Source organism: Homo sapiens, chromosome 5 (genome assembly GCF_000001405.40).
Source record: "Homo sapiens chromosome 5, GRCh38.p14 Primary Assembly".
In the NCBI taxonomy this organism is placed as follows: Eukaryota; Metazoa; Chordata; class Mammalia; order Primates; family Hominidae; genus Homo; species Homo sapiens.
This window is the reverse complement of record NC_000005.10, coordinates 118834942-118857506: the sequence shown is the minus strand read 5'-3', so window position 1 is coordinate 118857506 and position 22565 is coordinate 118834942. Positions and strand designations below refer to the sequence as shown.

The following is a 22565-nucleotide window of genomic DNA, read 5'->3' as shown; positions in this document are numbered from 1 at the left end:
TTGTAAAATGGGTAAAAGACTTAAACAGCCATTTCACAAAAAACGATATATGGCCAATGAGCATATGACAAAAGTCTTAATAGCATTTGTCATTAGGAAACTGCAAAAAACCCCCAACATATGGCCAAAGTAAAAATTTTCATTTTGTAAAATATATCAAGCCCAACACATATTAAGAGTTATACACGCTATATTATGTATGTATACGTATGTACACATAGAGGTTATACTTAATTTAAAAAACCACAAAAGCTTAACACACACATATACACACCCCCACACACATGAATAGGAAAGTTCACTCATCTAGTTAGTGGCAGAGTAGAGACTGCTGTTAAGATCGCTTACAATTTTCAAACTTTTTTTTAATGGAAGTGTACGTGTGCATCTACATTTCTTCGTTTATAACATGAACAGTAAAAATCTAAGCTGCCGGGTGCGGTGGCTCATGCCTGTAATCCCAGCACTTTGGGAGGCTGAGGTGGGCAGATCACCTGAGGTCAGGTGTTCGAGACCAGCCTGGCCAACATGTTGAAACCCCGTCTCTACTAAAAATACAAAAAAAAATTAATTGGGCGTGGTGGCAGGTACCTGTAATCTCAGCTACTTGGGAGGCTGAGGCAGGAGAGTCCCTTGAGCCCAGGAGGCAGAGGTTGCAGTGAGCTGAGATTGCGCCATTGTACTCCAGCCTGGGCAACAAAGAGCAAAACTCCATCTCAAAAAAAAAAAAAAAAAAAAAAAAGTAAGCCTCAATGGAGTGAAGGTAAAGGATATAAAATAGCTTTATAAACTGATGACTAATTTAGTAAAGAAAAATACAAAATATGGCAAACATTTTTAAAAGTCTGATAATACTAAATGTAGGAGATGACATGGAACAGACGGAACTCTTATTCAGAACTGATGGGTGTATATAATGTAACTACTTTGGAACGCAGTTTGTCTTTGTTTCATGATATTGCAAATGTGCTTAACCTAGTACTTAAATCAGTTCCACTCCTAGGGGTGTACTGTAGTGACACTCTTGTACTTCTAGACCAAGATAGGTTAATTTTTATTACTTTGTTTATAATAGCAAATAACTTTAAAGATCCCAAATATTTCAATGAATACATAAATTGTGGCAAATTCACAGACAGGGATACTGTAAGATAGACATAAAATAAATACACTGCAGCTATAGGAATAATATGGATGAATACCTGAGATAACAGTGTTAAAAAGACAAGTTATAGAAGAATATATAACCTAAATTTTTATAAAGTTCAAAAATAGGCAAAATTGAACAATTGTCTTATTTAGGATACCAAAAAGTAAGAGAATTATTAAAAATTTAGAGTAATGGCTATTTCAGAAAAGGTGGGGTTTATTAGGAGAACTTTTACTGTTTTATTATGGACATCCGTAAGTGAACTTGGATGGATCTTGATTCTCTTTCTCTGGAGTATACTGGGAGGAGCATACTGACGGTGTCAGTCATTTTGGATATATTCAGTTTCTTAAATGGTTATTAGAAGATTCAAGGATGTCAGTTTTAGTCTTATACTTCCTAACTCAACTATTACCTATTCTATTTTATAAATATTAAAAATTTTGTAATCATATTTTGAAAATTAAGGTGTTGTAAAAGTAAATACCTTGAAGTAAATAGTCGTTTTCTCTGGCTGGTGATATTATAGGGCACTTCACTTTTTATATTATGCATTTCTAAATCTTGTAAGTCTTTAATAATTAACATGCATTTTTTATGTTTAGAAAAGATAATTATAGAAAGTAAAATAACAAATGCAAAATGTTTACAATATATTTCTAACAAGGGTGGTAACCTTGAGTTATATGCTATCCTATTAAGCTGTCATGTCAGTCTTGATACTAAAGATATTCTTGCCAATCACTAGGCCCAATATTTACTCCCATTGCAGACTTTCAGATGAACATCTTTATCTTTCATCAGTATTTTAATAAGTCGAAATTTAGGTTAGTGTTTTCTTTATTGGTATAATATACTTGGTATCCATTTATATGCAGTATTATCAAACAGTTGCCTGCAATCAACAGGAATGGGCTAAATAAAGAAAATAAATAAAATTTTAAAAATTCCCATATCACTTGTTTTAAGTAAAAGTTAATTTTAAAAGCTGTGCGATAAATATCCCTTGCCTGCAAGACACTGCCTCTGCAAGACACTGTCTTTTTTTGGAATTTCTTTTAGGACCTGTAACTTAGTGTAAATATGTAATTACAAGAAGTTGCGGTAAAAAGTTTTACCGCAACTTCTTGTAATTACATATTTACACTAAGTTACAGGTCCGAAAATGATGATGATTATTTTTTTTTTTTGAGACAGAGTTTTGCTCTGTCATCCAGGCTGGAGTGCAGTGGCACAGTCATGGCTCACTGCAGCCTGAACCTCCCAGGCGCAGGTGATCCTCTTGCCTCAGACTCCCGAGTAACTGGGACCACAGGTGCATGCCACCACGCTTGGCTAACTATGGCTAATACCTGGGCACTGGCCTGTTGCCCAGGCTAGTCTCAAACTCTTCCCACCTCGGCCTCCTGCTGCTGAGATTACAGGTGTGAGCCACTGTGCCCAGTCAACATTTTAATTTTAAAGGAACAACATATAAGTTATATGGTTATTAAAACCATATTTCTATGATTAATGTAAAATCTTTAAGAAAGTATAACTTTATATAGAATGTGAAATATTTTAGAAACATATGAATGATGTAATTGATAATGAAACACTAGTTTCCCATAGTATCAAGTTTATACCTATTTCTTGAGTTGACTACCTTGAAGATTATGGTATATCTCCATTTTTGTGGGAGAATAAATCTCCATTTTGATGTTTTTGTGTGTGTTTGCTTTTGTGTGTATGTGATTAGACAAATATAATGGTTGTAGAAAAGGTCTTTTTAACATCCACTTTTCTTATATGACTATATAATTTAAAAAATTACATGTTTATTCTCTTTAGAATTTTTTTTTTCTAAATGAGTGCTCTAAAAATGTCACTTTAAATTGAGGCATAATGTTTGGAAAACATTATTTATTTATATTCTTGATGTCGATTTCAATAACATGCTAAGTTTTGCTCTGGTTGAATTTTTCCTGTATCCTAAGAGAAATTAATGACAATATTTTGACATAAGGTTTTCAGATTTTGCATTATTAAAAAAAGATTACAGTTGCATAGAATAAAAGAAAGCAATCCTTTAATAGTCCTAGGAAAGGATTAGATAAGCATGACATATTTTATAAATTAAACACAATTCTTATTTGGATCAAAAGTCTAAGCACTTTTTATAGATTTCTCAGATTAAATGGAAATGTATTCCATTTTTCATAATGTGAAAAAATGTCTAAATTTGTAATTTTTATAATATTTGTATGCTGTAAGTGAGCTACCTCAACTTTATTAACTTACCAAAGTTCCTCCAGAGATATAAATTATGACTAATAATACTTGTTTACCAATTTAAAATTTTCCAACTAAAAGTTAATACATGATTAAAGTAGTTGTTTAACACAAATGCTTAACCTTCTTAAACAGTCCCTTTCTCCACTCCTTATCCCCACATCTTCTTCCCCAGTAAAGTCACAAAACCCCCTAAACTTAAGTATTAAAAATTTTTAACTTCGTAGATTCAGAGGGTACATGTGCAGGTTTGTTACAAGGGTATATTGCCTGACGTTTAGATTTGGGGTCACCTAAGTAGTGAGCATAGTACCCAATACGTAGTTTTTCAATCCTTGCCCTCCTCCCCTCTGTGTCTGTGGGTCCTATCTTTATTTCTGTGTGTACCCATTGTTTAGCTCCCAATTATAAGGGAGAACATGCAGTATTTGATTTTCGTTTTCTGTATTAATTTGCTTAGGATAATGGCCTCCAGCAGCATCACGTTGCTGCAAAGGACATGATTTCATTCTTTCTATGGCTGTGTAGTATTCCATAATGCAAATGTACCACATTTTTTTTATCCAATTTACCAGTGATGGGCACCTAGGTTGATTCCATGTCTTTGCTATTATGAATAGGGCTGCAGTGAACATATAAGTGCATGTATCTTTTTGGTAGAATGATTTATTTTCCTTTGTGTGTATAGCCAGTAATTGGATTGCTGAGCTGAATGGTGGTTCTATTTTCATTTCTTTGAGAAATCTCTAAACTAATTTCTATAGAGGCTGAACTAATTTACATTCTTAACAACAGTGTATAAGCATCTCCTTTTCTCTGCAGCGTTGCCAACATCTGTTATTTTTTAACTTAAAAAAACAATTTCAACTTGTATTTTAGATCAAGAGGTATATGTGCAGGTTTGTTGCATGGGTATATTGTGTGATGCTGAGGTTTAGGGTATGAATGATACTGTTACCCAGGTAGTGAGCATAATACCTGATAGGTAGTTTTTTAGCACTTGCCCCACTTCCTCTCTCCTCTCTCTAGTAGTCTCCAGTGTCTGTGTTCCTGTCTTTATGCCCATGTGTACCCAGTACTTAACTTTCACTTACATATGAGAACATGTGGTTTGGTTTTCTGTTCCTGCATTAATTCACATAGGATAATGGCGTCCAGCTGCATCCATGTTGCTGCAAAGGACATGATTTCATTTTTTTTTATGAATGCATAGTGTTCCATGATGTATATGTACCACGTTTTCTTTATTCAATCCATCATGATTGATTCCATGCCTTTGCTATTGTGAATAGTGCTGCAGTCAACATACAAGTACCTGTGTCATTATGATAGAACAATTTATATTCCTTTAGATATATATATATATATCCAGTTATGAGATTTCTGGGTCAATTGATAGTTCGGTTTTAATTTCTTTGAGAAATCACCACACCGCTTTCGACAGTGGCTGAATTAATTTACATTCCCACAAGCAGTGTATAAACATTTCCTTTTCTCCATAACCTCTTCCTAGCATCTGCTATTTTTTGACTTTTTAATAATAGCCCTTCTGACTTGTGTGAGGTGGTATCTCATTGTGATTTTTTGTTGTGGGAATTCAGGGACCCTGAACGGAGGGACCAGCTGGAGTCGCAGCACAGGAACATAAATTGTGAAGATTTCATGGACATTTATCACTTCCTTAGTAATACTCTTATAATTTCTTACACCTGTCTTACTTTAATCTCTTAATCCTCTTATCTTCATAAGCTGAGGATGTACATCACGTCAGGACTCTGTGATGATTGCGTTAACTGTACAAATTGATTGTAAAACATGTGTTTGAATGATATGAAACCAGTGCACCTTGGAAATAAACAGAATAACAGTGATTTTAGGGAACAACAGAAGACAACCATAAGGTCTGACTGCTTCCCGGGTTGGGCAAAAAGAGCCATATTTTTCTTCTTGCAGAGAGCCTATAAACGGAGGTGCAAGTAGGAGAGATATCACTAAATTCTTTTCCTAGCAAGGAATATTGATATTAATACTCTAGGAAGAGAATTGCATTTCTGGAGGGAGGTCTATAAACCGCCACTCTGGGAGTGTCTGTCCTCTGCGGTTGAGATAAGGACTGAGATATGCCCTGGTCTCCTGCAGTACCCTCAGGCTTACTAGGATTGGGAAAACCCCAGCCCTGGTAAATTTGAGGTCAGACCTGTTCTATGCTCTTGAACCCTGTTTTCTTTTTTCTTTTTTTTTTTTTTATTATACTTTAAGTTTTAGGGTACATGTGCACAATGTGCAGGTTAGTTACATATGTATACATGTGCCATGTTGGTGTGCTGCACCCAGTAACTCATCATTTAACATTAGGTGTATCTCCAAATGCTATCCCTCCCCCCTCCCCCCACCCCACAACAGGCCCCGGTGTGTGATGTTCCCCTTCCTGTGTCCATGTGTTCTCATTGTCGAACGCTGTTTTCTGTTAAGATGTTTATCAAGACAATACGTGCACAGCTGAACATAGACACTTATCAGGAGTTCCCGATTTTGTCCTTGCCCTGTTTCCTCAGAAGCATGTGATCTTTGTTCTTTTTGCCCTTTGAAGCATGTAATCTTTGTGACCTACTCCCTGTTCATACACCCCCTCCCCTTTTGAAATCCTTAATAAAACTTGCTGGTTTTGTGACTCAGGTGGGCATCACGGTCCTACCGATATGTGATGTTGCCCCCGGCGGCCCAGATGTAAAATTCCTCTCTTTGTACTCTTTCTCTTTATTTCTCAGACCAGCCGACATTTAAGGAAAATAGAAAGAACCTATGTTGAAATATTGGGGGTGGGTTACCCTGATAGTTTTTTCTTTCTTTTTTTTTTTTTTTTTTTTGAGATAGGGTCTCACTCTTTTGCCCAGGCTGGAGTGCAGTGGCATGATCTTGGCTCACTGTAATCTCTGCCTCTCAGGTTCAAGTGATTCTCCACAGATGTGTACCACCATGCCCAGCTAATTTTTGTATTTTTAGTAGAGATTGGGTTTCACCATGTTGGCCAGGCTGGTCTTGAACTCCCAACCTCATGTGATCCACCCACCTCGGCCTCCGAAAGTGCTGGGATTGCAGGCCTGAGCCACTGCACCCAGCCCCATTGTGGTTTTGATTTGCATTTCTCTAAAGATTAATGATACTGAGCATTTTTTCATCTGCTTGTTGGCCACATGTATGTCCTCTTTTGAAAAATGTATTTTCACATCCTTTGCCCACATTTTAATGGGGTTCTTTGTTTTTTGCTTGAAATTTGTTTAAGCTTCTTGTAGATTCTGGATATTAGAGCTTTGTTGGATGCATAGTTTGCAAATAATTTCACCCATTCTGTAGGTTTTCGGATTGCTGTGTTGATAATTTCTTTTTCCTTGCAGAAGCTTTTTAGTTTAATTAGATTCCACTTGCCAACTCTTGCTTTTGTAGCAGTTGCTTTTGAGGACTTAGTAATAAATTCTTTGCCAAGGTTGATATCCAGAGGGTATTACCTAGGTTTTCTTCCAGGATTTCTATAGTCCTTGGCCTTACATTTTAATCTTTAATCCATCTTGAATTAATTTTTTTTTTTTTTTTTTTTTTTTTTTTTTTTTGTGGTGGGGTCTGGCTCTGTCACCCAGTCTGGAGTGCAGTGGTACCATCTTGACTCACTGCAACCTCTGCCTCCAGAGCTCAAGTGATTCTCCTGCCTCAGGCTCCCAAGTAGCTGGGATTATAGGCGCATGCACCACACCTGGCAATGTTTTTTTTTTTTTTTTTTTGTATTTTTGGTAGAGACAGGGTTTCACCATGTGAGCCATGCTGGTCTCAAACTCCTGGCCTCAAGTGATCTGCCAGCCTCGGCCTCCCAAAGTGCTGGGATTACAGGTGTGAGCCACTCCACCTGGCCATCTTGAATTAATTTTTGTGTATGGTGATATGTAGAGATCCAGTTTCATTCTTTGGCATATAGTTAACCAGTTATCCCAGCACCATTTATTGACTAGGGAGTTCTTTCCCCATTTTTTATTTTTTATTTTATTTTATTTTTTTTCATTTTCTTTTTTATTATTATTATGCTCTAAGTTCTGGGATACATGTGCAGGATGTGCAGGTTTGCTACATAGGTATACACGTGCCGTGGTGGTTTGCTCAACCCATCATCTACATTAGGTATTTCTCCTAATGTTATCCCTCCCATAGCCCCCACACCCCCCAACAGGCCCTGGTGTGTGATGTTCCCCTCCTGATGTCCATGTGTTCTCATTGTTCAACTCCCACTTACAAGTGAAAACATGTGGTGTTTGGTTTTCGATTCCTGTGTTAGTTTGCTGAGAATGATGGTTTCCAGCTTCAGCCATGTCCCTGCAAAGGACTTGAACTCATCCTTTTTTATGGCTGCATAGTATTCCAGGGTGTATATGTGCCACATTTTCTTTATCCAGTCTGTCATTGATAGGCATTTGGGTTGGTTTCAAGTCTTTGCTATTGTGAATAATGCTGCAATAAACATATGTGTGCATGCATCTTTATAGTAGAATGATTTATAATCCTTTGGGTATATACCCAGTAATGGGATTGCTGGGTCAAATGGTGTTTCTGGTTGTAGATCGTTGAGGAATTGCCACGCTGTCTTCTACAGTGATTGAACTAGTTTACAGTCCCACCAACAGTGTAAAAGTGTTCCCATTTCTCCAGATCCTCTCTAGTATATATTGTTTCCTGACTTTTTAATGATCACCATTCCAACTGGAGTGAGGTGGTATCTCATTGTGGTTTTGATTTGTATTTCTCTAATGACCAGTGATGATGAGATTTTTTTCTTATGTTTGTTGGCCACATAAATGTATACTTTTGAGATGTGTCTGTTCATATCCTTTGCCCACTTTTTGATGGGTTGTTTTCCTTTTTTCTCGTAAATTTGTGTAAGTTCCTTGTAGATTCTGGATACTAGCCCTTTGTCAGATGGACAGATTGCAAAATTTTTCTCCCATTCTGTAGGTTGCCTGTTCACTCTGATGATAGTTTCATTTGCTGTGCAGAAGCTCTTTAGTTTAATTAGATCCCATTTGTCAATTTTGGCTTTTGCTGCCATTGCTTTGGTGTTTTAGTCATAAAGTCTTTGCCCATGCCTGTGTCCTGGATGGTATTGCCTAGGTTTTCTTCTAGGGTTTTTATGGATTTAGGTTTTATGCTTAAGTCTTTAATCCCTCTTGAGTTAATTTTTGTATAAGGTTTAAGGAAGGGGTCCAGTTTCAGTTTTCTGTGTATGGCTAGCCAGTTTTCCCAACACCATTTATTAAATAGGGAATCCTTTCCCCATTGCTTGTTTGTGTCAGGTTTGTCAAAGATCAGATGGTTGTAGATGTGTGGCATTATTTCTGAGGCCTCTGTTCTGTTTCATTGGTTTATATATCTGTTTTGGTACCAGTACCTTGCTATTTTGGTTACTGTAGCCTTGTAGCCTTTTTGATTTTAGCTGCAGCCTTTTTTATTTTAGCTACTCTGTTGAGTGTGAAATGTTACCCCATTGTGGTTTTAATTTACATTAGATCATGTTGAACACTTTTTTGTGTACCTATTTGCCATTCTTATAACTTCTTTTGTGAAGTGTATATTCACTCTTTACTGCAAGGGGATTATTAGTCTTTTTATTTTGGTTGTATATATTGTGGATATGTCTTCTTCTATATAGCTATCTTCTACTATTTAACAATTGCAACAAAAGGATGTTATACATAAAAGATATTGACACATTTAGTACTTCTAAGCTGCTGGCAGTTTTGGAAGGAAAGTAATTAGTATTTAAAACACAAACTTTATAATTTTAAATTTAAAACAAAAATTATGTTCTATTTTGTTTTTGATTTCAGGTGCAATTAAAAACTAGCATTTCTAGTCAGTATGTAATTCGGATGCAGCCGACTAATAGATGCCTTTCTACACTGGAGTGTGCAGCTGTTGCTCTTTCCATCTTGGAGAAAAATAATTACATACAAGAGGTACGTCTTTGTAAGGTTATAGTTTTTCAAAGTGGGAGTTTTCTTAGATTTTACCTAGAAGATTTAGACATGCTTGTTAAATTTGTAACTCATGTGACAAGTAGAATCTTCTGTGTTAGAAATTTATGTACTTTTATAACCTTGTTTCCTCTCTGGTGTTTTTCTGTGTGTGTGTTTAGCATTCCAGATTATATTATTTAAATATTCATACTAAACTGTGCAAACAGCATTTGTAATATGCTAAATTACATTTAAGTAGCACAACATTAAGTAGTTTTTTGGCTAGATTTTTCTTTTAGTGTTTTCTCTTCTCTTTTTGGTATTTTGTGTTCTCTTGTGCTCAGCCTTTTCTTCTTTTTGGTTAAAAGAACATTCTATAGCAACATTTTTATTTTTGCCTTGGTGCCGTATACTAACTTTCTGTTTCTCGTGTTAACCTTGCTTAGAATGTAAAAAAGACATTTTTCTTGAAAAAAAAAATGCCTAGAGAATATGAAAGTATTATAACCTGCAATTATTTCATTTAATTTCTATGAAAGCATGATGATTTCATATATAATTAATAATCATCAGCAAAGAATAATGTTTCAGTGTGCTTACTAACATCTCAGTCTTTTGGAACATGCAAGAAACAGCATTTGTAGCAAAAGAAAAAATAGTAAAATAAAACCTAAATTGTTAGGGTTTTTTAATTATTGAAAAGTTTTGATAAATACAACTCATGAAGAAAGTCAGAGGATAATGAGCACAACTAAAAGGGATTTATAACTCCCCCTTCAAAACACAGCATGAACACATGGATGCACACACGCACATACACACGCGAAAGAGGTACTCTTTCCTGCCTTCTTTCTTTCTCATTATCCATTATGGTTACAGTTATGAGTATGCCTTAAACACGAAGGAAATTTCAATAATAGATGAAAGCTCAGTTCAGAGTAAATGTATTAGCTACCAAGATATTAATCCTAAAGAGAACAAAAAGATAGCAAAAGCAAGGAGTGTTAAAGAATGTTAGAAGCAGGCCTTGAATTACTTTTTTCCTCTCCTCTACCCTAAGCTGTGGAATATGTCAGAGTTGGAGACTTTTCTTCTTTTGAAAAAACTAGGATTTTCGTGTGTATGTGTGTGTGTGTGTGTGTGTGTGTGTGTGTGTGTGTGTGTGTGTGCCTGTGTGTTTGAGTAGACTTTGTTTAGGGTCTAGGCAATTTCACTTTCTCTGCTTTTGAAAAAAAATTCATGAAGGAACATAGATTCTTACTTTAAATGAGCAGGGAGTGTTCTCAGACACCTTTCCATCTCCTCTAACCATGTCACCTACTCCCATGTCCCTAGCCATAAACATAGTACTTTATATACCCCATATGTGTCTTTCTGTTTTATTTACCATCATCTCTGTATATTCTTAAGCAAATATATATACATACACACTTTTCACAGGTGTCTTAATAGAATTATGTAACCCAGTGCTGTTGTTTAAACTTGCTTTCTCTACAGTCTCTGCGTTTTCTTTTTTGTTGATGTAAAACTCTAGGATCAGACAACATCAGACCAAACAAGGACCCATTGAAAGTTCAAATTTTGAGGGAAAAGTATATTCCTTAGCTATAGATTTAAAGCTTACTTTTCTCCCCTTTTGGGTTCTGGAAAGAATTCTCTGTGGACTTATATCTCTTATTCCCACAACTGGAATTGGATCTTTACTGCAATCCTAAATATAACCTTTAATGTTAGTAATGGTGGTGGTTATGGTAATAGTGGTTGTAGAATAATAGGGTTACAGTTAAGGATAGGGTTTGTACTACTACTACTACTAATTCTGCTGGTGCTCCCTTCTCTCCAATTTTATATTATTTTGTACATTATATTAATTAATATACCATCTACTTGTAAAAAAAGATAAATTTAAAAATCAATATACCATTATATTAGGAATCCTATTAGCTAAGAATGTTTCAGGCTTTATTTTACAAATGTTCTAGACTCAACAAAGTATTAGAGTGAATTCTTTCAAAGTTAACTAATGAGGAACTTTTTGAAAAAATGATATAACATTATATAGTTAGGACAACTTTACGTTGTTTTAGGGCCTCTTCTCCATCAGCATTTTTTCATTCTTTCATTACTTCTATTGTTTTATATAACCCGAGGCATTTATTGATGACATAAAGCCACAGGCTGACTTGAATCTTGCTAGATTGTGCTTTGTGATGTGATATCTTAAAAACAAACAAACAAAAAAAAGGAATCCTTATTGTGACAACTTGAGACTTGCAAAATACATTCTGAGTGTAATATCTAACAAAAGGCAAAGTTTAAGACAACAGAATGGTGACAGGACCCATTATCTCTTCAGCTTTTGTTATTGTTGTCTGTAGATAAAATTAAACATAAAGTCCCAAAGTAATAGTGAGGTCTTAGAGCCCTCATTCTGCTTGCTTTGGTTGCCAGGAGTAATTGTACTGCAGTGGCCAGGAGTAGAAAAAGGATATTTGACAGTCAAACCTGGGATTTGGGAGGTACTGATAACATGGTGGGAGAGTGAGCAGAAGAAATACATAATAAAACATCTCAAGTTGCTTATTATTACAGATGGCAAAAATTGCTTCCAGCCACAATTTATAGTGAAAGCTGTTTTCTTAGTGGGGGAACCCCACATCCAGCCTTTTCAAATCTAGTTATGAGAAAAAAATTAGCATCTAGTTGCGATAATAAATTAGCATCTTTGTGAAATGCAGTATCAGTCTGCCCTAAACATAGGTGTTTTCTTTCCCTCCTGGGGAGGAAAGTGATGACATACACTTTTTCCCAATAACCTTTTATCAGGGGCATTCTAATAAAACCTTAAGATGGTGGGGGAGAATAGTAAATTTTCTTTTTCTTTTTCCTCTTTTCTTTGCTTCACTTTCCTTCACTTTTCTTTTTCTTTTTTCTTTTTCTTTTCCAACAGAGTCTTGCTCTGTCACCCAGGCTGGAGTGCAGTGGCATGATCTTGATTCACTGCAACTTCTGCCTCCTGGGTTTAAGTGATCCTCCCACCTCAGCCTCCCAAGTAGCTGGGACTACAGGTGCATACCACCATGCCCAGCTAATTTTTGTATTTTTTGTAGAGATGGGAGAGGCGGGGGGAGTCTCAAGTTGCCCAGATTGGTCTTGAACTCCTAGGGGATTTAAGCGATCCACCTGCCTTCGCCTGCCAAAATGTTGGAATTACAGGTCTGAGCTACTGTGCCTGCCAGAGAAGAGTAAATTTTCACTTGGCTTCATTCTATAGAGGCAGGGTTCCTCAAAATAAAGAACTTGGCACAGAATAGCTTTGTTAATCTGTTGTCTCATCCTCACTCTTTATTCTAGAGCAGTTTTTCAAGCACCTGAAAGCATGGCTACATGAAAGTAGCACAATGTGGATTTTGAAGTAGTTTTGAATTACAACTTATTATCATCACTTTTTGCAAGTGGGCAGACCACATAATTTTTTGTACTTGTGTTCTTATCTGTAATATACAAAATGTTACCTCATAGTATTTCAAGAACTGAGATAATAATGAGTAATCGCCACAGTTGTCAACACAGGCACTCAAAAAGAGTTAATCCTCTTGCCCCTCTTTTCCTCTCTAATTTTTGCCTGTAGATTGGCAAAAGAAAGTCTGAACTAAAAGATAGTGGCTTTCATTAGCTACTACAGTATTTACCAGGACTTTTCATACCTTGGAAGCCTTTAGCTTGGGGTTCTTTTTTATTACAGAACCTTTTCTACTTACGAAGTTTTATCATAGGAATTTTTAAAGATAGATGTGGCAAAACCTCCTGCTATAACCTGAATGTTTTGGCTCTACCCAATATCTGCAGTTGGTAGTAATGGTTCCTTGAAAACTGTCACTTTTCACATGCAGCAAAAAGGATTTACTAGGATAGGCTACAACTTTAAAACTCTGAAGTTGAAATCAGATAAGATGACAAAAGTTTATGCATCTCTCATGCTGTTTGTCCAGTGGGATTACCCTGAGGACCTCTGCTGATTTGCAGTCACTCAGGCACCCAACCTGATGGAGGAACTATCTAGATAATTCATCCCACTTTCATCAAGGAAGGAGCAAGGAAGGTGGTGTATCCTATACCACTTTTAATGCTTCTGCCCTAAGGTGACACGTATTAGTTGTACTCACATTTCATTAACCAAAGCAAGTTATATGGCTGTGCCTAAATTTGAAAAGGGATAGAAAATGCCAATCTGCTCATGTATCAGGAAGGAGGCTGGCCTATTTGTGAACAGCTGTAGGGAGTACCAACAGAGATGGAGTAGGGATCTAATCCAGATCTGCCTGTTTCCAAAATTCATTCTCTTCATTACCTCAGTAAATTGATAGAATCTTATCTTCAGGATGTAAAAGTTGGAATCTTTTGACCATAAGAATATGAGTTTTCTTCTGTTTACAAGAATATAATAAATGTCATAAAATATCAATAGAATCTTCAGTTGTCTTGGTCTGTATGTCATCCTAGGTATGTTTCCTGGGTTCAGTGTTTCAGAATACAGTCCACTGTGGTGACTCTGTAAAGTACGTAAAGTCATATATAGTTATTTTAGCATTCCCTCTCTTATTTTCCTCATTAAAATAAATTACGGGAACATGCATAAGGAGTTTTCTACAATAATATTGTGCAGAGCCTTTCCAAGATATTTACCTTTTTTCTTTCTATCTCTCTCCTTCCTTCCTCCCTTCCTCCCTTCCTCCCTCCCTGCCTCCCTCCCTCCCTCGCTTCCTTCCTTTTCCCTTCCCTTTCCCTTCCTTTCCCTTCCTTCCTTTTCTTTCTTTTCTTTCATTTCTATTCTGGGCCGGATGCGGTGGCTCACACCTGTAATCCCAGCACTTTGGGAGGCCGAGGCAGGTGGATCACGAGGTCAGGAGTTCGAGACCAGCCTGGCCAATATGGTGAAACCCCGTCTCTACTAAAAATACAAAAATAAGCTGGGCATGGTGGCATGCACCTATAGTCCCAGCTACTTGGGAGGCTGAGGCAGAAGAATCACTTGAACCCAGGAGGCGGAGGTTGCAGTGAGCTGAGATTGTGCCACTGCACTCCAGCCTGGGTGACAGAACAAGACTCCATCTCAAAAAAAAAAAAAAAAAAAAAGAGGAAGAAGAAAGTTTCTCATTCTGTCACCAAGGCTGGAGTGCAGTGGTATGATCGTGGCTCACTGCCGCCTTGACCTCCCAGGCTCAAGCGATCCTCCTGCCTCAGCCTCCCGAGTAGCTGGGACCACAGGTGCACACCACCATGTCTGGCTAATTTTTTCTATTTTCTTTTTTTTTTTTTAATAGAAACAGGGTCTTGCCATGTTGCCTGGGCTGGTCTCAAACTGCTGGGCTCAAGCAATCCTCCTGCATCAGCCTCCCAAAATGCTGGGATTACAGATGTGGGGGTGTATATTACAGTAAGGAATTATATTTGCCTGCATGTAAGAGAGCCCTTACTGCAGTGGTTAATTCACATGGGGTTTTCTTTTTCTCCTGTAAATCAGAAATGCTGAGGTGGGCAGTCCTGACTGGGAATGCAGCTTGAAAAAGAATTCAGGGACAAGTTTTCTTTTCTTTCTGTCCATCATCTTTTGTATTTGGCTTTAATCTTCATGTTTGTTGCCTAGTAGTCACATGATGCTTGTCCTACCTTCAACAGTTATTTTCTAGGCAGGAAAAAAGGACAAAAACCTATGCCTGCTAAGTTTGTCCCCTTTAAAGAGTATCTCTAGAAGCCCCATCCAAGGACTTCTAGTTACATCTTCTTGGATAGATTGGGTCATTAGTGAATGTAATATTAGTAGCTGGACACATTGCTACCTTGAATATAATTTGAATTATTTTAATAAGGGAGAAAATAATACGAAGAAGCAACTACTAGTGACTATCACAATAAATAAATTTAATTTCATTATAAATTAAAGCTATTAAGCCCTTTTTCTACCACTTATGTTGTGCATCAGCCTCCCAAAATGCTGGGATTACAGATGTGAGAGTGTGTATTATAGTTAGGAATGATATTTGGCCGCATGTAAGAGAACCCTTACTACATTTGTTAATTCATGTGGGGTTTTCTTTGTGGGTTAATACATTTTCACGTAGACATTGTGAATTTTTTGTAGTTAAATCTATCAGTTTTTTCTTTGTTTCTTTTGTGCTCCTTTAACAATCTGTTTAATTAAGTTTTTTTGCTGTTATTTTTGAAAATATCTTCATCAGGGGTCTCAGGCCCAAGGAAGGAATCTCACCCAAAATATGTTTAAAACACTGGCATAGTGTTGTTTTTTTTTTAATTTTTGAATTTGAATAACTTCAGGTAGAGCGTATACTCCAGTTGTATTACAGCCGCCACTATTCTCTGTTGGCTTGTAAAGATCCACCCAGTTTACGTGTTTCTGTTACATGGCTGGCCTATAGGTATTTGAATTTAGACAGTTCAGATATTGTTAGAATAATTTCAAACGCACCAAGACCTGGGCATCTAACTTGTATGTGGTCCATGGCACTAATGTGAGAGAAATAGCAAACCGTTTACCCATTGCTGCCATCATCTAATTGTTGTCAGGTGTCAGTAAGCTTGCATTAATTTGTCATAGAAACTGAATTGACTATTTTGGTGTACTTATCTTTGTATTTAAATGTCTCATTTAGTCTCCTTGTTATGGATTCAATTATAATGGCAACAATTTTTTGTGGTGTTTGAATAATGTATAAAACTAATGCCAGACTTTATTACCTATGTGGAAAATCAGTATTTGTATCTTTTTAATAAAATTCCTTAGTGTAATATTAAGGCATGAATTTTAAAGACATTATTTATCTAGAAATAATTATATATTTATCAGAGTGCCTAGTGTTTCTCATAGTTAAAAGCCAATCATAATAAAAGAAACATAGTAACTCCTATTTCTGAATGAAAAATATAGATAGAATATCATGATTTGTCACAGATACTTTTTTAGTGTCTTTTTTCTCTTGACAGACTTTGCTTCGCCCTCTTCAAGCTTTATGCTCCTTTCAACTTCAGCATGGTGCCCAAATTCGCCTCAGCAAGGAACACCTTCTGAAAAATGGATTATATCCTAAACCAATGCCAAAGAACAAACGCAAACTCAGGAAAATGGAATTGTTAATGAATAGTGTTAAAATTTAGTACAGTTATTCTTTTGGTGCTAGCTTAACTGTCTTCATCTAACAATACCAAATTAAGTTTTCATATAGTTAAGGTCTGTAGGTTTTTGACTTGCTAAAGAAGGAGAATTGCATACTAATCTTACCCAGAAGAAGGAAGTAAACCAAATATTCATAAATACAAATAAACAGAAATTCACTGGCTCACTGAAAAGCAGGATTTCCTACTGTACTTGTTTTTAAAAATGTGCCTCTAATACATGTTTTCAAACCCAAATTTAAAATATGATTTGTTGTTGTGATAGGTTAGAAGTTCTTACTTGTAAAATAGAAGAAAATTGTTGTAGTGGATTGGAACGGTGTTGTGTCCATTAATGTTTATAAATAATTAGGTGTAGACCAATAATATAAGATTCCTACATCAGTTTGCAGTCCTGACTTTACAGTTTGAAATAAGTAGCAAAAGAAAATTATGATAATCAAGTAATTTATTATTTTGTAAAATAGTATAAAGGAATAAGGAAATTTTAAGTATTGTTTAGGGGCCAAATTTGAACTCAGCTAATATGATTTAAGCGCTCTATTAATTGCCCTGATTTTTAAAGAGGTGCATGTAATTTTGAAATAGCACACATTTTCATTTGTAATCACTCTGGATAAATTTGTATTTTTCAGTGTTCATTGAACAGGCTTATTGACTCTGGTAAACTTATTTTATTGATGTTTTCATATGGAAAATAATAAGTGGAATATGATACAATTGTTATTTTCAGAACATATTTCTTTAGGGCTATTTAATATAACCTTTTTAACGAGCAAAAACTTTCCATTTGAGAGAAAAAATTCTTCCTGCTCTGTGGGAAAATATTTGCTGAGATTTTGTATAGAATAAGAGACATGTATGTAACATATATGTATATTCAGCACAAGTCTACTGCAATTATGTACACATTTTGGCAGGAAGAGGGGATTTTGTTTAGTCTTTGTTTATGAGTTCTAGAGTTTCCTGTATCTAGTGTTAAGTTGTAAGGAAAAACTAAACATGCCATTTAAAGGTAAACTTGGTAACTATTTATAGAGCATACACCAATGATTATTTCTCACAGTTTTCATGATCATTTGTTTATTATTTACTTGGATTAGACTCATTAAAAGGTATAATGCTGGTCACAATTAGAATGCTAATATTTGGGGAAACTATGCAGAAAATATTTTAAAATATTAAAAGAGTGCTGGCTTCTATTGTTGATTTATTTTTGGATTTAAAAACAAATTAGGGCTGGGCCCATTAGCTCACACCTGTAATCCCAGCACTTTGGGAGGCTGAGATGTGAGAATTGCTTGAGCCCAGGAGTTTGAGACCAGCCTGGGCAATATGGTGAGACTCCATCTCCATACAAAATTAAAAAAAAAATAATTAGCCAGATGTGGTGGTGTGCACTTGTAGTCCTAGCTACTTGGGAGGCTAAGGTGGGAGGATCGCTGGAGCCCAGGACATCAAGGTTGCAAGGAGCTATGTTCATTCCACTGCACTCCAGCCTGGGCTACAGAGTGAGACCTGTCTAAAATAAATAAATAAATAAACAAACTAGCTCATTTACAATGTAAAGCACTTAATATCAAATGATTATTTGGTGTACTAGAAAAGAAACAGCATATAATAATGTATAATAGTTTCTTAACAAGTGGGGCTAAAATCATTTTGTAGTAATTTTTCACATTGATATTAAACTTCATGAGTTTCTTTTAGTCATTATTATTATTATTATTATTATTTGAGATGGAATCTCGCTCTGTCGCCCAGGCTGGAGTGCAGTGGCGCAATCTTGGCTCACTGAAAGCTCTGCCTCCTGGGTTCACGCCATTCTTCTGCCTCAGCCTCCTGAGTAGCTGGGACTACAGGTGCCCACCACCACGCCCGGCTAATTTTTTGTATTTTTAGTAGAGATGGGGTTTCACCGTATTAGCCAGGATGGTCTCGATCTCCTGACCTCGTGATCTGTCTGCCTTGGCCTCCAAAAGTGCTGGGACCGTGCCCAGCCATCATTATTATTTTTTAAAAAGAAAACTCCCCCTACCCCCAGTATACCATTTTGTATCTCAAAATTTTACTTTATTGATTTTTAAGAGTAATTTCTACTTTTATCTTTTAAATAAAACATTTTAGAGTATTTTTGAAGACTTAAAAAGCTTAAAATTTAGTGTTTTTGGAAATGTATAAAATTTTCTTGAAGTATGTATAGTTTTCCAAATTACTTTACTGACCTGTTAACTCACTGTACTTGTTTTTTACTTATTTTTTCCTGACCTCTTAACAAGGTGAGTCCATTTAATCATCTGTGGTATAAAATGCTTCTCTAGTCACCTGTTCTCATTAAACAGTTGTAAGTAAGTTTTAAAAGCCATTATTTTAATTACTAAAAGTTCTCAAGTGTGTAGTATTATCTGAGTATTTTAATTGAAAAATTAATCAGGCTTTTAAAAATTACTTTTTTATTGTATTAGTTGGCTTTTAAATTCAGATTCTTTATATTTGCTTGATTTTTCCTGGAAGTTCCAAGTTTTATGAATTTGTAGCTGATAGTAGGTTTTACTTGTGTACCCCATCTGCACTTTGATGTTGTGTAGATCGTTTTGTGAGTTATTTGAACCGTGTAACTCAGAGAATAGTATTTCCTCATACATAAAGTGACCTCACTTTTAATCAGCTCCTTTATAGTATGTTGAAAATCACTGCGTGTAATGAGAGGTATTGAGAGTTTCTTGCACACATGAGTGTAAAAGGTTGAGAACTAGATTATACAAAGTAGTAAGTCACAGTGCATGGCAACTTTCTACAGGTTGGATTATAAGACTTATGTGGAATAGGAGAATTATATTGGGAAAAAATTATTTTCTCTAACTTGAAGACTCCAGAGACACTTTTCTTAGTCATGACCAGTAATATTTTTCATATATTTTGGAAGAAATAAGCTCCTCACTATACCACCAGTTAGTGATTTATTTATTTATGTATTTTAGAGACAGGGCCTCCTTCTGTCACCCAGTTTGGAGTGCAGTGGTGTAATCATAGCTTACTGCAGCATCAAACTCCTGGGCTCAAGTGTTCCTCCTGCCTCAGCCTCCCAAGTAGCTAGAACCTCAGCCCCATGCCACCACACTCAGCTAATTTTAAATTTTACTAATTTCATTTAATTTTTGTGGAGATGGGGGTCTTGCTGTGTTGTTTAGGCTGGTCCTGAACTCCTGGCCTCAAGCGATCCTTCTGCCTTGGCCTCTCAGTAAATTATATAGAAGAGCACTTCTGTATAATTTACTCAGTTTCTTCATCACATATTTCCAACTGTTGCCCTAAATAGGTTTAAAAATGTGATCATGTTATTAGAAAATCCTTTCCATTGAATTTCAGGGATGCTGAATTTCAGGGAGCTAAATTGTTGACCCTTGCCTGTAGTTGTTATTGGTTCAGAAGTAAATTTTATTGATGCTACAAGTAAAAAATTAGATCTGACTTAGTAAACTCAAAAGTTTTACAAAACTGTATTTTACTATGTAGATGTATTTCTTTAAAATAGGTATGGATGGATATTTTTATGAATAAATAATATTGCATTATAGATGGAATGAAACTTTGCATTTAATTTGCCCCATAAGTAGGCTTTTTGTAGAATGAATTACTCTCTTAAATTGTCCAATCTAAATTTTTATTAGCTACATTAACTTAAAGCATATTCTCTCTCTTTTCTCTTCACACTTTCTTCCTCCTTCCCAGGGTCTTCCTCTCCCTCTTTCATCACCTACATTGTTCCCCTTCCCTTTTATACTATTCTTATTGTATGTACTAGCTGTTGTTATTTATACAAATACTCATACATCCTTACATAGCATGTTTTTAAACAAAAGATACTGTAGTGGTCTTAACAGTTTACAATTTTATATTTAAAAATTATTCAGGAAATCTGGAAATCCCTGACTTTTTACACCGTGCTGATCACTTGACTCCTGTCTTAGTCCATTCTGGCTGCTCTCTCAGAATACCAGAGACTGGATAGCTTATAAAAAACAGAAATTTATTTCTTCTAAGTCTGGAGGCTGGGAAATACAATATCAAGGTGCCAGCAGATTTGGTGTCTGGTGAGGGGCCCACTCACTGGTTCATAGATGGTGCATTCTAGCTGTGTCTTCACCTAGTGGAAGGGTCGAGCTAGCTCTCTGAGACCCTTATGACCTAATCATCCCCCAAAGGTTCCACTTCCTAATACTATACCTCGGGAATTAAGGTTTCAACCTGTGAGTTTTGTGGGGACACAAATATTCAGACCATAGCAACTCCTGTACTCTACTAAAAAGCATATTAGAGAAATAAGTAATTGTTTTTCAATTTTTAAGAATTATTCACTTGAGCCAAGCGTGGTGGCTCACATCTGTAATTCCAGCACTTTGGGAGGCCGAGGTGGGTAGATCACGAGGTCAGGAGTTCAAGACCAGCCTGGCCAAGATGGTGAAACCTCATCTGTACTAAAAATACAAAAATTAGCCAGGCGTAGTGGCAGGCACCTGTAATCCCAGCTACTCAGGAGGCTGAGGCAGAGAATTGCTTGAACCTGGGAGGCAGAGGTTGCAGTGAGCTGAGATGTACCACTGCACTCTAGCCTGGGCGACAGAGTGAGACAGTGTCTCAAATAAATAAATAAATAAATAAAAATAAGATTCACTTGAACTAACAACGTAAGAATTATTTTTAAAAGAAACTTTTTAATGTAAGGTTTTTTAAAAAAATTATTCGAATAAGAAATTTTACTATATGTCTTACTGTTATTGTTACTTAGAAGTATATTAAAGAATTAAAACATTTTTTAAAAGTGTACCTGCCTCAGGATTATTTTCATTACAGAGTACTCCTTACTGATTTTGCATACAAATATCATTTACTCATTTCTGCCTCCAAATGTGTTATTTGCAAGGGGAAAATTTCCTCATTTTTTTTGTGTGTATAAATGTAATTTTATGGGAAACAGTTGTTAGGAAAACTGGCAGTGATTTACAATATGATCATTTAATTTTATAAACTTACTGTTTAGTATTTTCGCTTTATTAAATAGCTTTATTTCTAAAGTTGCTTCTTAGTAAAATCAATGAAGAAAGATTTTTAAATATACGTGATTTTGGGTCTAAAATGTATACTTCCCTTTTTTCCATTTCTAGAATTGTCTGTAGTTATTTAAAGGAAACCAATGTTTTAGCATCATATTTTAATACTTTTTTGGCAACTCTCCGAACTCTTGCAAATTCAAATTCTATGTGGCAAGCAGTGATAGATAGTTTTATCCAAGACATATACGGTCTCCTATAAAAGAAAAAAATCCTCTTAGTGCATAAGGTAAAAGTAAAGATTGGTAGACACAATGAGTATCTTTAAAGTAAAATACATCATTAACAAAGTGACTAATTCTTTAATTTGTAAAGTGTTTAGTAAGTTAAAGTAGGGAAAGTGAATTATAGTGTCACTTTTTGGCTTTTCACTTGTGCTAATTGATTTCATTTCTTTAAAGAGTATCAGTCATCATTTAGCTTAGTTCATTAATATCTTTGCTGATGGGATATAGTAATAGTTTACTTAGAACTAAACATCTGTGGTTTCTAATATCTAATAGTACATTCCTAATATAATGCTAAACCTCATTTTCATTTAAAAATAGTTAAATCACTAATAATGGTTTTTTGTTATATGCGCTTACTATTAATTGTTAATAACAAAAGTTATTTGAATTGTTTTTAAAAATGTAATTGCCATAGATTTTCACTGATGATTCTCATTAATCCTATTATTAAAATATAATATTTAATTTGAAATATGTGAATTATATCTAGTATTTAGCAGCAAAGAGCAGAGTCTGTTAATATTATCTCCCCATGCATGTACCATTAATTTGGATAATGAATATAATATGTTAGTAGTGAAATAAGGTTGGATTTCCATAAAATATCAGGTTTTAG

General features: G+C 35.6%; 1 protein-coding gene across 4 annotated transcripts in view; it reads left to right on the top strand.

Annotated features, from left to right (window-relative positions):
• Nucleotides 1-21433, top strand: part of DTWD2 (DTW motif tRNA-uridine aminocarboxypropyltransferase 2) — a 152474-nt gene extending 131041 nt beyond the window's left edge. For all 4 annotated transcript variants that reach the window (NM_173666.4, XM_011543338.4, NM_001308081.2 and 1 more), the window contains 2 exons: nucleotides 9289-9417; nucleotides 16420-21433. In NM_173666.4, coding sequence (NP_775937.1) covers nucleotides 9289-9417; nucleotides 16420-16590 — 300 coding nt within the window. In that variant the 3' untranslated portion in view covers nucleotides 16591-21433. The remainder of the gene's footprint in view (nucleotides 1-9288; nucleotides 9418-16419) is intronic.
• Nucleotides 21434-22565: the final 1132 nt, after the last annotated feature.